Consider the following 16,806-nt stretch of genomic DNA (forward strand, 5'->3'; position numbering starts at 1 on the left):
TGACAGAGTGAGACTCCATCTCAAAACAAAAAATAAAAAATAAACTCCTAGTAGATAACATAGGAGAGAATCTAGGTGACCTTGGGTTTGGTGATGAGTTTGAATATACATTACCAAGGCATGATCCATGAAAGAAAGAATTGTTAAGTTGGACTTCATTAAAATGAAAAATTTCTGCTCTATGAAAGATACTGTCAAGGGAATGAAAGGATAAGCCACAAACTGGGAGAAAATATTTGCAGAAGACATATTTGATAAAGGACTGTTGTCCAAAATATACGAAGAACTCTGAAAACTCAGCAATAACAACAACCTGATTTTACTTTTTTAAATATTTTTATTTATTTATTTATTTACTAATTTTTTTGAGATGGAGTCTTGCTCTTTTGCCCAGGCTGGAGTGCAGTGGCCTGATCTCAGCTCACTGCAATCTCCACCTCATGAGTTCAAATGATTCTCCTCCTGAGTAGCAGGGACTACAGATGTGCGCCACCATGCCTGGCTAATTTTTGTATTTTTAGTAGAGACGGGGTTTCACCATGTTCACCATGTTGGACAGGCTGGTCTCAAACTCCTGACCTCAAGTGATCCACCTTTCTTGGCCTCCCGAAGTGCTGGGATTACAGGCATGAGCCACTGTGCCTGGCCAACAACCTGATCTTAAAAATGGGCCAAAGACCTTAACAGACACCTCACCAAAGAAGACATACAGATGGCAAATAAACATATGAAAATATGCTCCACATCATATGTAATCAGGGGAATGCAAATTAAAGCAACAATAAGATACCCTACATGCCTATTAGGAAGGCTAAAATCTAGAACACCGACAACACCAAATGCCGGTAAGGATGTGGAGCAATGAAGTCTCTCATTGATTGCTGGTGGGAATGCAAAATAGTACAGCCACTTTGGAGGACAGGTGGTTTTTTACAAAATTAAACATATTCTTACCATAACATTCACCCCTTGTGCTCCTTGGTATTTACCCAAAGGAATTGAAAACTTATGTCCATATAAAAACCTGCACATCGGGCTGGGAGCGGTGGCTCATGCCTGTAATACTAGCACTTTGGGTGGCCTAGGCGGGTGGATTACCTGAGGTCAGGAGTTTGAGACCAGCCTGGCCCACATGGTGAAACCCTGTCTCTACTAAAAATACAACAATCAGCCAGGCATGGTGGTGCACGCCTGTAATCCCAGCTACTCGGGAGGCTGAGGAAGGAGAATTGCTTGAACCCCAGAGGTGGAGGTTGCAGTGAGCCAAGATCGTGCCACTGCACTCCAGCCTGTGTGACAGGAGCAAGACTCCATCTCAAAAACAAAACAAAACAAAACAAAACAAAACAAAACAAAAAAAACCGTGCGCATCAGTATTTCTAGCAGCCTTATTCATAATTGCCAAAACTTGTAAGCAACCAAGATGTCATTCAGCATGTGCGTGGATAAATAAACTGTAATGCATCCAGACAATGGGATATTATTCAGTGCTAAAAAGAAATGAGCTATCAAGCCATGAAAAGACATGGAGGAAACTTAGATGCATATTGCTAAGTGAAAGAAGCCAATCTGAAAAGGCTTCCTACTATATGATTCCAACTATGACATTTTGGAAAAGGCATGACTATGGAGACAGTAAAAATATCAGTGGTTAACAGAGATTAAGCGGGAAAGGAGGGATGAATAAGTGGAGCACGGAGGATTTTTAGGATAGTGAATCTACTCTCTGATATTTTCACAGTGGATAGACATTATATACATTTGTCCAAACTCATGGAATGGATGACACCAACAGTGAACCCTAAACTATGGACTTTGGGTGATAATGATGTGTCAATGTAGGTTCATCACAACAAAGGTACCATTCTAGTGGAGATGTTGATAATGGGGAGGGCTGTGCATGTTTGGGGGCACAGGGTATATATGGGAAATCTCAGAATCTTCTGCTCAATTCTGTTGTGAACTTAAAATTGCTCTATGAAGTAAAGTATCTAAAAAAAATATGTAAAGGGCTGCAATCAATGCTTGGTACATAGGAAGCAATAATTTTAACTGTAATTACATTTATTATTAATAATTGGACATTAACAATAAGGCACATTGGAAAGGCTTTAGCATAAGGTAAGTTTTAAAGGATTGCTTGCAAATTAATTGGGGTTTCCTGCAGACTTTGACAATGTCGTTTTATTTTATGATTTTTACAGTGCCACTTCTTTGTTTAATATCTGGACTAAATACGCCCCCAGGCTGCCAGCAGACTATTACAACGAAAAGCTTCTGAAGGTTGGAGATAGCCTTTGTCAAATGAAAGTAAGTGCCTCTGCAGGAAAGAGCCAAAAAGAAGTTCATTTGGCTAATTATTATTACAGTATTTAGTCTGATACCCTTCCTATTTTACATGTTTTGATTTTTCTCTTAGAAAAAAATAAATGAGTACATAAAAATTTTAATAAGGCACAGTAACCAAAAAAGTGTTGCTTTTTAATTTTGTAGTTGAGATTTCCCAGAGGTGAGACATTCCTGAACAGCCAGGCAGCTGGCTGTGGATGGGCAGGAGGGTGGCCGGGTTAACAGAGGGTGTGGTAGGCACACAACAGGAAATGCTGAATCATCGTGTTCCTACCTTATACAAAGGAGCCCAGACACCACTTCCTGTTGTTTTTCATATGGCTGGCCTTGCCCAGTGGTCAACCTTCAGGGCTCTTGGCCTTGCAGCTCTGTTGCTTGCTTCAGTGCCCTGTTTATTAAACTCTTTCAACTCTTTCTTAATGTTTTGCTGTATGTAATTATAACAGTCATTCCATACATACCCTGTTTCTTGCTCAGTATTGTATTCCAGAATGAGTTTGTGTCCTTCTTTTAGTTCTACCTGAATGTCTAGGGCTTGGAATGCTGTGGACCGGTGGACTTGGTTTGCTGAGACCACAGCATGGCTGGGTTTTCCATTAATGATCATGTGAGTTTCCCCCTTAAACTCTGGCCTAGGTCCAGATTATTCTAAGTTATGTGAACGTCAGACAATGGGATCTTAGGCCAGCCGTGGGCAGTGTTCAGTGTTTTCTCAATCTTCAGTTTCTCAACTTCATTTTTCCCCTCTCTGTTTTCTGGACTTTAATCCTCTTGGTCTGGGAGACAAATTTACCAAATAGAGGATATGAGTGGTGGAACTTCATAATGAAGAACTAAGATCTATTTTCTTCTGCCAAAACTAGAGAATAACCATAGTTCCACATAAATGGACCATGGGTCTTAGAAACTTGAAAATACAGGGCTTGGTAAGCTACAGAAAAGAAACCTGGGTGAGATTCAACTTGGAAGCTTTATTCATGTAAGTGGAATAAGAGTTTTGACAAGAATTACAAGATAGCCCCCTTTCCATCCTTACACTTTTCAGTATAAGAAGCTGGTAATACAAATAAAAAGCACAGTGTAGGGTTGTTTGAGAAATGTCTGTGTGGGTGGAGTGGATATTAGTGGAGGGAGGAGAGAGGTGTATGTTAGAAGCTGATAAAGCAAGTTAAAGATGGCTGGTAGCTAAGGATTCAGAATGTTTTAGATAGAAAGGCCTAGATAGGATATTTTAATATTTAATTAAAGGAACAAAGAAAAAGTTTTATCTACTTTTCACTGAAGGGAATGTTGGCCAGGCTGGGCATGGTGGCTCACACCTGTAATCCCAGAACTTTGGTAGGCTGAGGAGGGCAGATTGCTTGCTTGAGCCCAGGAGTTTGAGACAAGCCTGGGTAACATGGCGAAACACTGTCCCTAAAAAAAAAAAAAAAAAAAAAAAGGTATTTATAATTCTGAAAATGAACTTGTTACTTTGGTTTCTAGGCTCTATTTTTATTTTAGTTGTAGTAAAGATCATCTTGTGGAAAATTTTTTTTAAACCTAGATTTGAATTTATTATATGACTCAAGTTAGAGCAGAAAAGATTCAGGATTAGTGAGCAAAAACAAATCTTTAATAGAAATTTAAACAAAACAGTGTTTGACTGAAGATGCCTCCCAAGGGGCTAGGTAACTGGACAGCCAGTTCAACCTTGGGCAGTTGCTTTTCCTGGGGATGAAGTTGTGGGGGAGGGAGCTGAGGAAGGGTTGCAAGTGACTCATTTTGAAAGCACTGCTTATGTCCCCTGCCCTGAAACCCTCCAGGTAACTGAGCCCTGTGGGTTACAGAAATGGGGCATCTGATTCTGTAATGGGAACATAAGCATGAATTTGAATGAATAAAAATCCCACTGCTCAGATGCTTTTTATTTGTCCTGATGCAGCTTTAGAGTGTTGACAGATGAAAGAGAGGCAAGTAGCTCACCTCACTCTGCAGTTTTTTCTTTTATTTTCTCTTCTTTGGTTCCCTCTTTCTTCCTCTCTTCCTTCCTCTCTCCCTCCCTCTCCCTTCCTTTCCTTCCTCTCTCCCTCCCTTCCTTTCTCTCTCTCTCTTTCTTTCTTTCTCTTTCTTTCTTTCTCTCTCTCTCCTTCCTTCCTTCTTTCTCGCTTTCTCTCTCTCCTCTTTCTTTCTTTCCCTCCCTCCCTTTATTTTTTCCTTCCTCCTTCCCTCCCTTTCTTTCTCTTTCTTCCTTTCCTTTCCTTTTTTTTCCTTCCTTTCTTTCTCTCTCTCTCTTTCACTTCCTTTCTTCCCCCTTCCTTTCCTTTCCCCTTCTCTTCCCTTTTCTTTTCCTTTCCTTTCCCTTCCCCTTCTTTCCCTTCCTTCCTTCCTGCCTTCCTCCCTCCCTCTCTCCCTTCCCTCCTTCCTTCCTTTCCCTTCCTCCCTTCCTCTCTCCCTCCCTCCCTCCCTCCCTTCCTTCTTTCCTTCCTTCCTTTGTTTCTCTCTCGCTCGCTCGCTCTTCGTTTCTTTTCTTTTTCGAGCCTATGAGGTATCAGAGAAGCAAGACTACTCATCCACCTCTCTAGGTATGTGGGTTACCATGATCTGATGATGCTGAATTTTGGAACCTGGGTTTTGAGTATTTGTAGGTATTACCATGCACAGTGCCATAGTAAATATTCTCATCCTTGTGGTCATGATGGTCCCATCTCACATAGGCTCATTGTGAGGAGAATTAGATGAAATAATGCACATACATTGTATAGTGCAGTGTCTCTCACATACTATGTTTTTGGAAAATGGAGCCAGTAGTAATGGTATAATTGTAATAATCAACCTTGATACTATTAGGAATAATATGAATATTACCTAATAATGATAAGCTAAATGATATTTTGGAACTTTAATCAAGTACTCCTTTTGTTTCAGGAATACAAACTGGCCCTTTTACAATGCTATGGAAGATATCTTCAGCAGTTCAATACCAATTTTGATGAGAATAAAGTGGATGTAACTCAATTCAAAGCTACCTTTTTCCCAAAAGGCTTTAAAGATAAAACTGCTGGACTTACAGTAAGATGAAAGAGCAGCTGAAATAGCTACAATTTATGATTAGCTATACAATGTATCTTTTAGTTGACAGCTTCTAAATGTCTTGTTGGCTTAGCATAGCATCTAGCTGTGTGCTATAAGTTGCTTAATAAATACTTTCAGTGCTGGATAAGAAAGTGAACTTATCAAGCTTTGTAAGGATGCTTTGGAGATTAAGTCACTGCAGTCACTCATTCATGTAGCAGTTGTTATTTAATAACTAATACTTGTAGAGTGCATTTAGTTTATAAAGTGCTTTGGAAAACAAATTTGATAAAGTAATTTTATGAGTTACATACTATTATCCCTATTTTACAGAAGAGAAAAATAAAGCTTATCACATAGTATAAAAAAGCGACTCAAGATTAAACATAAATCTATTGATATAAAATATTTATACTTTATTTCTAGTATACCAGTATTTTGTTAATTACTACCATTGATTCACTGGTTGAGCAGTTTTCATGTGCTGAGTACTCTTCTAAATACATTGTATGAATTATCATCTTGCAGCCTCATTAAAGTCCTAAGAGGTGCCTCTTTTACAGGTTAGGAAATGGAAGTTTATTAGCCCACTTAAAGCAATGGGCAGGGTTGGTGTTTGAACCCTGATCAGTCTGACTCTAAATCTATGTTACTTCAAACTTGAGGACTATTCAAGGGTTTGGGACCCGTATGTGGTTAATAAGCAGAAACTCTTAAGGCATGTTTGGGAGACAATTGAACAGTTCAATTTGGCTGTACCATAGGTACGTGAATGAGAATACTGGGCGATGTAGGTTGGCACCCTGTTAGGGAAAAGGTCTCTCCTACTCCCCTTTTTGTAGCCTTGACCCCCTACCTTCTGCTTTTTGCTTTTCATATTTTGCCAGAATTTATTTTTCTTTCTTCCTCTTTCTTTCTTTTTCTTTCTTTCTTTCTTTCTTTCCCTTTCTTTCTTCTTTCTTTTTCTTTCTTTCTTTCTTTCTTTTTCTTTTCTTCTCTTTCTTTCTTTTCTTCCTTTCTTCCTTTCTTTCCTTTCTTTTCTTCTTTTTTTTTTGGAGTCTTGTTCTGTTGCCCAGGCTGGAGTGCAGTGGCATGATCTCAGTTCACTGCAACCTCTGCCTCCTAGGTTCAAGCAATTCTCCTGCCTCAGCCTCCTTAGTAGCTGGGATTACAGGCGCATACCACCATGCCCGGCTAATTTTTGTATTTTTAGTAGAGATGGGGTTTCACCATGTCGGTCAGGGTGGTCTCAAACTCCTGACCTCATGATCCACTCTCCTTGGCCTCCCAAAGTGCTGGGATTACAGGTGTGAGCCACCGTGCCTGGCCAATTAATTTCTAAAGTAGAAACCTGTCATTTTGTTCCACTACCCATTGACTTTGCCTTTTGGCTAAAGTCCAAATTCCTTGGAATACATGGAATGCTCTCTCTCTTTTTCTGAGCCTGGGTCACCCCTATAATAGCCTCACTTTTTTTTTTTTTTTTTTGAGACCGAGGCTCACTCTGTTGCCCAAGCTGGAGTGCAGTGGTGCAGTCTTGGCTCACTGCAGCCTCCGCCTCCTGGGCCCAAGTGATTCACCTGCCTCAACTTCCTGAGTAGCTGGGATTACAGGTGCGCACCATCATGCCTGGCTAATTTTTGTATTTTTAGTAGAGATGGGGTTTCTCCATGTTGGCCAGGCTGGTCTCGAACTCCTGACCTCAAGTGATCTGCCTGCCTTGGCCTCACTTCTTTATTTTAAACCATCTCATCCAACCTTACAAAATACTTTCAATTCAGTGACCGCAGCAGTCCCTTCAATGCTGCATGAGCCTGGTGCATGAGCCTGTAACTGTTTTCCCTCCTCTAAGAGCAGTGTCCGTTTCTTCCTCATCCTAGAGTCTCTGTTGCCTAGCAGAGTGTGGCTAATAGAGGTGCTCAAGAAACATTTGTTGAGTGAATTGTGTAAATGGTTATAATCACATCTGAATTAATAAATAAGTTAAAATGCCACTGGGGAGCTTATAACAATTGATTCAATTCTGGCCGGGCGCGGTGGCTCACGCCTGTAATCCTAGCACTTTGGGAGGCCGAGGCAGGCGGATCACGAGGTCAGGAGATCGAGACCATCCTGGCTAACACGGTGAAACCCCGTCTCTACTAAAAATACAAAAAAGTAACCAGGCGTGGTGGCGGGCACCTGTAGTCCCAGCTACTCAGGAGGCTGAGGCAGGAGAATGGCGTGAACCCAGGAGGTGGAGCTTGCAGTGAGCCGAGGTCAGCCACTGCACTCCAACCTGGGAGACAGAGCAAGACTCCGTCTCAAAAAAAAAAAAAAAAAATTGATTCAATTCTGTATTTTTGGTAATAGGATTTGTTTTTCTTTCTGAATTTCTTGTGACTAAGGAAAGCTAGTCTTAACTAGATGGATGTTTTAAAGAAACCTATCTTTTTTTTTTTACACTAATCTATTAAATTAATTATCCATAATTGTTTCCATTTTAGTTTTTTACATTTTGAGAAATGCTTTCCTAAGTTATTTCTATTTCTTCCTTCTTTTTCTTTCTTTTCTTTTCTTTTTTTTTTTTTTGAGATGGAGTTTCTCTCTTGTCACCCAGGCTGGAATGCAGTGGCACGATCTTGGCTCACTGCAACCTCTGCCTCCCAGGTTCAAACGATTCTCCTGCCTCAGCCTCCTGAGTAGCTGGGATTACACGCATGTGCCACCACGCCCAGCTAATTTTTGTATTTTTAGTAGAGACAGGATTTCATCATGTTGGCCAGGCTGGTCTCAAACTCCTGACCTCAGGTGATTTGCCCACCTTGGCCTCCCTAAGTGCTGGGATTACAGGTGTGAGCTACTGTTCCTGGCCAGTTATTTCTATTTCTATTTCTATTTTCCCATGTGTTTCAGTTTCATGCTTTGAGTGGCAAAAATATGTGCAACTACCAGCTGGTCTGCGACAGTGATGAAAACCTGAAGAATAAAGAATCTGTGGTCCAGTGTCTGCATATCTTGTCCTCCTTAAGGCTCATCATGCAAGTGGCTCTGCCACAAGAGCATCTTTGCTGGATTATCTTCAATGGTATATGCTGATGTATTTTATTTTCCATTGTGTCTTTCAGAAAGTTACTTCAATGCTAAGTTTGACAGTAGCTTGAGTACCTTGTGATTTAAAACATACGCATTTCATAATAGGATGAATATATTTTTTTCAACATTCGTGTGACATGTTTGTCCTCGTAAATTGGGATGGATAAAGCATGTCTTTGGGTTTTCACTGGGGAAAGGGTCAGAGACTGTGGGAATAATCACTGTTGGGTGTTCAAAAAGCAGGGCCGCAGTTAACAAGTAAATATAGATGGAGAAGGGTCAAAGAACCAGTGCGGGTTAGATTGGCTCTAAGCATCACCCATTTACTGGCCCTGTCCTCAAACAACTTGGCTTTGGGTTTCTACAAAGTGACCTCCTCCTACTTTTATTTTGAGTGAGGACTGCTGAGGAACACACACACACACATACACACACACACACACACACACACATACACACACACATATGTACATTATGTGTATGTCTGAAGAAATGACTCTCAGCTAAAAAATGTAATACTTGCTTTTCTCTATTTTAAAGTTGCAACTTACTGCATTATTCTCTGGATAATATATTTTTAAAAGGAAAATATTGACAGTGTGTTCGATGTGCATAAGACAGGATCAAATAACTTCAAGGAAACATATTGGATTTTCCCTCATCCATGGCAACTGAAAGTATATTTTCTAGCCTTTTCCTTTCTCACCCACCCCCAAGTCATGTTTTGACATTTTGATTGAAATCAGACTTTACATTTGCTGCCAGAGATGAGGCCAACTTTGATGAGATTTTTTCAGTCCAGTGATTATTAAGCTTTTGTGTCTGATCATCCTCCAGAGATTCGATGTTACCTGCGCCACCACTGCCATCTCTCACACATCTTGGCAGGGACGGAGAAGGAGCAGCAGTTCCATGTTAGGCCCAGTGGTTGAGCCCTGTGGTCAGCCCTTGTTTGAGTGGTGGAAATGAGCATGATTCCCTGTCTTTACTCCTTTTAAGATCACAACCCAAACATAGTCTTTTTTTTTTTTTTTTTTTGTCTGAGACAGGGTCTCACTTTCTCACCCAGAGTGGAGTGCAGTGTGGCATGATCACTGCAGCCTTGAGCCTTGAACTCCTGGGCTTAAGCCATTCTGCATCAGCCTTCCAAAGCACTGGGATTACATTTCTCTCAATAATCTTTTTTTTTTTTTTTTGAGATGGAGTCTCGCTGTGTTGCCCAGGCTGGAGTACAGTGGCATGATCTCGGCTCACTGCAACCTCCACCTCCTGGGTTCAAACGATTCTCCTGCCTCAGCCTCCCGAGTAGCTGGGATGACAGGCACGCCCCACCACACCCGGCCAATTTTTGTATTTTTAGTACAGACGGGTTTTTACCATGGTAGCCAGGCTGGTCTTGAACTCCTGACCTCAGGCAATCCGCCCGCCTCCACCTCCCAAAGTGCTGGAATTACAGGTGTGAGCCACCATGCCCGGCCTCTCAATTTTTTTTTTTTTTTTAAAAGATTATTTCTGTATCCTTGATATCTTTTTCTTGGTATGTGCTTTTTTCCTTTTCTCTTTTTTAATACACATGGCATTGTGCTCTAGATTTTATTCTGTTTCCTTTTTTTTTTTTCCTGCTGAATATTGTGGGGTTTTAGAATCTAGCTAAGTTCCTGTATGTAAATCTAATTCATTAATTCTGCCTGCTGAATTATATTGCAGATATCCATACAGGCCTGGCGATGAGCACCTGGTTTGCCTGACCTCTCTAATTGCACAAATAATTCTGCAATGAATATCCTTACACATGTCCTTTTATAGACCTGTGCGAGAGTTTTCTGGGATCTGTGCCTAGGAGTGGAATTACTGGGTTCTGGGAGATACACATACTTAGTTTCAGTAACTACTCTTCCTGTTTTAATTTATTCTCTAACTTACTGAATGCCTACCATATGCTAGGCATTGTTCTAGGTGCTAGGGACACAGGAGTGGACAGTAGACAAAAACCACATTCTCATGCTGACTTCCATTGCAGGGAGATGCTAAACAAATCAAAACTGAATTGTGTCAGATAGTGACGAGGCTATGGAGAAAAGTCAAAGCCAGAAGGGGATAGAGAGAGGAGGGGCTGGGCTGCTGAGATGACAGAGGAACAAAGACCTGAAGGAGTTTGGATAGTGAAACTTCTGGGTATCTGGTGGAAGGGCATTCCACCTGGGGGATCAGCAAGTGCAAAGACCCTGAAGTTTTGACAGTTTGGAATTTAAGTAGTCAAAACTATATTTGACTGAAAATGTCAAATGTGCCTTGATAACTTATCAAAATACATTTGACCTTTTCAGTTAGACATTTACTCTATTTACTTTTAATTGACTGTTATACATACACACTCTTGGTTTCTTCAAATATTTAACCAATCTTGGTTTTTAAATAAAAATTTAGGCTGCACACAGTGGCTCACACCTGTAATCCTAGCACTTTGAGAGGCCAAGGCAAGCAGATCACCTGAGGTCAGGAGTTCAAGACCAGCCTGGCTAACATGGTGAAACTGGGTCTCTACTAAAAGTACAAAAATTATCCGGGTGTGGTGGTGCATGCCTGTAATCCCAGTTACTCAGGAGGCTGAGGCAGGAGAATTGCTTGAATCTGGGAGGCGGAGGTTGCAGTGAGCCAAGATCATGCCACTGCACTCCAGCTTGGGTGACAGAGCAAGTCTCCATCTCAAAAAAAAAAAAATCTAATTGGGTATATGGATATTAAGTAATACCTTACTTTTCAACTAAAGTGAACCCAACTAATTTAGACCCTCAACTAGATTATTTTGATGGTGGCCATTTTTAATGAAAAGGACTCACAAGACCAGGCAATAAACTCCTATTAGGGACTTGGTTAAAAATGAAACAGGCCCGGCATGGTGGCTCACGCCTGTAATCCTAGCACTTTGGGAGGCCCAGGTGAAAGACCAGCCTGGCCAACGTAGTGAAACCCCATCTCTACTAAGAATACAAAAATTGGCCGGGTGTGGTGGCGTGTGCCTATAATCACAGCTACTTGGGAGGCTGAGGCAGGAGAATTGCTTGAACCCGGGGAGCAGAGGTTATAGTGAGCCGAGATCATGCCACTTCCCTCCAGCCTGGGCAACAGAGCAAGACTCCATCTCAAAAAAAAAAAAAAAAAAAGAACAAAGGAAATAAACTTCCAGAAATACCCTGAGATCATAAAGATTCAGTCTGTGTTCCATCTGATACCATTTACTCTCTGAGTCTGGCTTTTGCAGCAGGAATTTGTGAGCCATGCCAAGATCTTGAACTGTCAAAGGACTTAGTTACAGTCAGAACATTTTAGTGCTGGAAAGGTGAAAGGCACCTTTTTGAAATACAGAGGGCCCTTGTCATTCTTGAGGGCAGTCTCCTGAGGCCTTCCTCAGTTCCCCAGTTCCCCGTTACTGGCATGTTTATACAGGCTCCTGGCTTACATCCTCATCACATGTTTTTTGGACAGGCATGTGTTTCCTGTGCATATTTTTACTTGGTGACTATTTTTTTTTCCTGCAAAGAAACACTTAGACAGTTTTATTTTTAAAGATGAAGAGTAGAGGCCAGGAATGGTGGCTCACGCTTCTCATCACAGCACTTTGGGAAGCCAGATTACTTGAGGTCAGGAGTTCGAGACCAGCCTGGCCAACATGGCAAGACCCCTGTCTCTACTAAAAATACAAAAATTAGCTGAGCGTGGTGGCGAGCGCCTGTAATCCCAGCTACTTGAGAGCCTGAGGCACGGGAATCACTTGAACCCGGGAGGTGGAGGTCACCGTGAGCTGAGATTGCACCACTGTACTCCAGCCTGGGTGACAGAGCGAGACTCTTATCTCAAAAAAAAAAAAAAAAAAGAAATGAAAAAGATGAAGAGTAGAGGTCAACAAAGCCTCGTTGAGATAAGTCTGCTGAGCTTGAGCTGTTATTAGTCGAGTGGTTTCTTCCCCAGTGGATCTTCAGTGGAATGAATAACTGCAGGTGCTGGGGGTAGTCACATGAATAATGCCAAGTCCCTGAATGTTAAGGACCAATTGCATTCTCTATGAAATTTAGGGTACTATACATTTAAATTTAAATTTTATTCAATTTTGGGGGTCACTGATTTGTGTAATTGATGTTTATTATGCTTATAGTTGTGTTCTAATCAAGTAATAGATGTTTTGGTGCAGTTGCCATTTTCTCACAAACTTTTTATTTATTTATTTTTTTGAGATGGAGACTCGCTCTGTCACCCAGGCTGCAGTGCAATGGCGCAATCTTGGCTCACTGCAATCTCTGTCACCTGGGCTTAGGCAATTCTCCTGCCTCAGCCTCCTGAGTAGCTGGGATTACAGGTGCATACCATCACGCCCAGCTACTTTTGTGTTTTTAGTAGAGATGGGGTTTCTCCACGTTGGCCAGGCTGATCTCGAATTCCTGACCTCAGGTGTTTTGCCCCCTTCAGCCTCCCAAAGTGCTGGGATTACAGGTGTGAGACACCACGCCCGGCTGGGATTACAGGTGCACACCATCATGCCCAACTAATTTTGTATTTTTAGTAGAGATGGGGTTTCTCCATGTTGGCCAGGCTGGTCTCGAATTCCTGACCTCAGGTGTTTTGCCTGCCTCAGCCTCCCAAAGTGCTGGGATTATAGGCGTGAGCCACGGCGCCTGGCCATCAGAAACTTAAAAGTTTAAACCTGAACATAGAATTCATAATTGTTGAGTTTTTATGGTTACGAATATTAGATACTTTATAGAAAATATTTAGACTATCTGTTACAATTACATGCCTTTTTAAAGCATGCTACCATCTTTTGGGTATGTTTATAGATAGATAAACTGCTTGTATACAGAGAGAAGTATGGTGATGTTCCCCACTCCTCTCTTCAACCCTCCCTCCAGCCTTCTATCCTCTTTTAATTAATGGTCTGACACAAAAGCATGTGTCCTTACTTAGGTGTTGGAAATGCTATTTTTTCACTAGAATGCTAGTAGGACACACCTTGATAATAGGAAAAATGTTATATGAGTCTGAGAGTGAATATAACGTGCCCTGTTATGCATTATGATTTTTAAATTATTATGAGTTTCCTTGTTGAGTATTTTGCCATGCTGATTAAATATGTATTCTGATCTTATTTGGAGATAAATCTTTAGTTTTTAAATGATAAGGAAACCATGGGAACCAATTTTATATATATATATATATATATATATATATATATATATATATATATATATGTATATATTTGAGATGGAGTCTTGCTCTGTCGCCCAGGCTAGAGTGCAGTGGCATGATCTCGGCTCACTGCAACCTCCGCCTCCCAGGTTCAAGCGATTTTTCTCCCTCAGTCTCCCAAGTAGCTGGGACTACAGGTGCATGCCACCACGCCCGGCTAATTTTTGTATTATTAGTAGAAACGGGGTTTTACCATATTGGACAGGCTGGTCTTGAGCTCCTGACCTCGTGATCCTCCCGCCTCAGGCTCCCAAAGTGCTGGGATTACAGGCGTAGCCACTGTACACAGCTGGGAACCAGTAATATTTTATATGAATTAATGAAAGCACAGGGTACATAAATTATGCCACTAGAATTATTCTTTTGTTCATTATACTTCAAAAGTTAAATGGCCTGTAAAATGAGACTAGAAGATTCCTGTGTCAACATATTTAAAATACGGCCATGTTAATTATTTTAATGATTTTGTTTACAAGTTACAAGAAAAATTATGATGAGTATAACTCTATATACCATTATCAGACTTCCTCATAAGATCACTTGTTTTGGGAACTACAGACTTGAACCACAGAAATTGGAATATAAAATTTCTATCATTTGACTGTAAAACATGTTAACAATCGTTTTCTCCATCCAGGTACCATTTATATTTACACCATTTGCAGAAAACTGATGGTCATAGGTCAGTCTTCCAAGGTATGAAATGTACTGACAAAATATTTTCCCCTCTATTTCCTGTTTTATTTTTCTTAAGGCTTTCATTACACAGTATATTGAATGTTAAACAAGGAATATTTGGAGAATTATATAATATAAAATTTAGTAAATATATATTATATAGCTTTATTATTCTTAGTTTTGCTTTAATAGGGATCATATGTAAAAATATAGATGATTTAATGAAAAGAAAGGAAATTCCTGAAAATGTTAGTATTCTCTGTCTCTCAGATAGTCATGCTTGTCACGCTTGATAGTAAACATCCATCTGGTTGCTATAGCTTTAGGTAGGGTGACCATCCGTCCTGGCTTGCCCAGGAAAGTCCCGGTTTATGCCTGTTGTCCTGTTAGTAATTATCAGTAGTGCCCACTTTTACTAGTAAAAGTGGCCTGGGCCGGGTGCAGTAGCTTACACCTGTAATCCCAGCACTTCGGGAGACCTAGACTGGCAGATCACTTGAGGCCAGGAGTTTGAGACCAGCCTGGCCAACATGGCAAAACCCCGTCTTTACAAAAAATACAAAAATTAGCCGGACCTGGTGGCACATGCCTGTAGTCCCAGCTACTTGGGAGGCTGAGGTGGGAAGATTGCTTGAGCCTGGGAGGCGGAGGTTGCAGAGAGCCAAGATCGTGCCACTTTGCACTCTAGCCTGGGTGACAGAGCAAGACTGTGTCTCAAATGAAAAAAAAATAGAAAATTAAAAAAAGGTGTCCTGGTTTGGATGATAAACTATGGTTACCCCCTTTATGTCATGATACGGAGCTTGGATTTCATTCTGCTTGAAGTGCTTCCACTTCTGGCCTGCATGCTAATCGGGTGAATGCACACTTAAACTCTAACCCAGTTGCATGACAAAGGCAAGGAGACTTTATTTTATAATAAGATTCTTACTTACCAGTAGTCACTGCTCAGTGTTAGCTTGAGGAAGTTGCTGACACTTCTATTGACTTCCCTACAATGTTGGTAGCATTTTTGTCCACGGGAGACATATTTATTCCCTGTATTAGTTTTCCAGTTATTGGAATGTAGGCCAAGAAGGGCGAATATACTCCCGTTGAGACCCTGCTTGAGTTGTTGCTGGCATCTGAAACATGACTACTTTATTCTTTATTCCATACAGAACCTTACCCTGAATATTCTAACACTCAGGAGAGATATGTTTTTTCTTATTTCCTCAAAGCATAGCCAAGTATCTTAAAAGTTGACAACATCTGAAAAATAAAAATGGAAGTAAAGAAATTTGCATGCTCAATGGATAACATTAATTATGTGTTCTCTCTCTGTTTTGCTTCTCAAATTAAAAAACTCTATGACAGACAGTGACTTGAAGAAGCTCTGTGCCAGCTTTCTGAGTGTGAATTAAATTGAGGGGGGACTCTCCCAGGCCTAATGTAAACTTGGCCCGCAGACTACTGCAATGATGCTACATTCAGTTCCAGATGATTTCCTAAAGAGAATTTGCATACTCTGGTTGCGCTTGGTGTAACAACAACAAACATGGCTTCACAGGACCATCATAGTTTGGTCTGCTGCAGTGCTTGCTGCCAAAGCTTTGAAGGGCAGAAATGTCTGTGCCGACATTTGACTGTTAGTGTTTGTGCTTGTTAACACTGAGAGAATTTTAAAGTGACAGTCATCTTAAAATAATTTCTTATTCATAACCTTTGTAAGACATTTCTTCTCTGCCTCATATACCTTGAGTTTGTCTCTGATAAAATAAGGATAGTTGAGTATTTTGCCATGCTGATTAAATAGGTATTCTAATCTTATTAGGAGATAAATCTTCAGTTTTTCAACCATAAGGAAACCATGGGAACCGATAATATTTTATATGAATTAATAAAAGCACAGGGTACATAAATTTTGCCACTAAAATTATTCTTTTGTTCATTATATTTCAAAACTTAAATCGCCTGTAAAATGACACTAAAATGAGTATAGTTCTTTTTTTTTTTTTTTTGAGACTGAGTGTTGCTCTGTTGCCCAGGCTGGGTGCAGTGGCGCCGTCTTAGCTCACTGCAAGCTCTGCCTCCTGGGTTCAAGTGATTCTCCTGCCACAGCCCCCTGAGTAGCTGGGATTACAGGCACCCACCACCATGCCAGGCTAATTTTTTGTATTTTTAGTAGAGATGGGGTTTCATCATATTGGCTAGGCTGGTCTCGAACTCCTGACCTCCAGTGATCTTCCCGCCTCAAGCCTTCCAAAATGCTGGGATTACAGGCGTGAGCCACGGTGCCTGGCCCAAAATGAGTATAGTTCTGTGGTGCCAGTCTTGTGGGATGGGGATGGGAGGTGAGGGATGCAATAATTTTGGGGGAGGGGTGGGTGGTTGTACATTTGGCACCTGAAGATCTGAATGACATTCTTT

General features: G+C 40.9%; 1 protein-coding gene across 2 annotated transcripts in view, besides 1 other annotated feature; it reads left to right on the forward strand.

The window, feature by feature from the left end:
* Window positions 1-16,806, forward strand: part of CFAP54 (cilia and flagella associated protein 54) — a 385,979-nt gene that overhangs the window by 9,053 nt on the left and 360,120 nt on the right. For both annotated transcript variants that reach the window (NM_001367885.1, NM_001306084.2), the window contains exons 2-5: window positions 2,205-2,310; window positions 5,257-5,400; window positions 8,299-8,470; window positions 14,357-14,415. In NM_001367885.1, coding sequence (NP_001354814.1) covers window positions 2,205-2,310; window positions 5,257-5,400; window positions 8,299-8,470; window positions 14,357-14,415 — 481 coding nt within the window. The remainder of the gene's footprint in view (window positions 1-2,204; window positions 2,311-5,256; window positions 5,401-8,298; window positions 8,471-14,356; window positions 14,416-16,806) is intronic.
* Window positions 2,020-3,219: an enhancer, noted in NCBI's record as "MED14-independent group 3 enhancer chr12:96894427-96895626 (GRCh37/hg19 assembly coordinates)". NCBI's record gives its function as "activates an origin of replication core promoter dependent on BRD2, BRD4, P300/CBP and CDK7 cofactors, and independent of MED14, by STARR-seq in HCT116 cells {active_cell/tissue: HCT116}" and the evidence as "EXISTENCE:reporter gene assay evidence [ECO:0000049][PMID:35650434]".

The sequence above is a fragment of the Homo sapiens genome, chromosome 12 (genome assembly GCF_000001405.40).
Source record: "Homo sapiens chromosome 12, GRCh38.p14 Primary Assembly".
Lineage (NCBI taxonomy): Eukaryota > Metazoa > Chordata > Mammalia > Primates > Hominidae > Homo > Homo sapiens.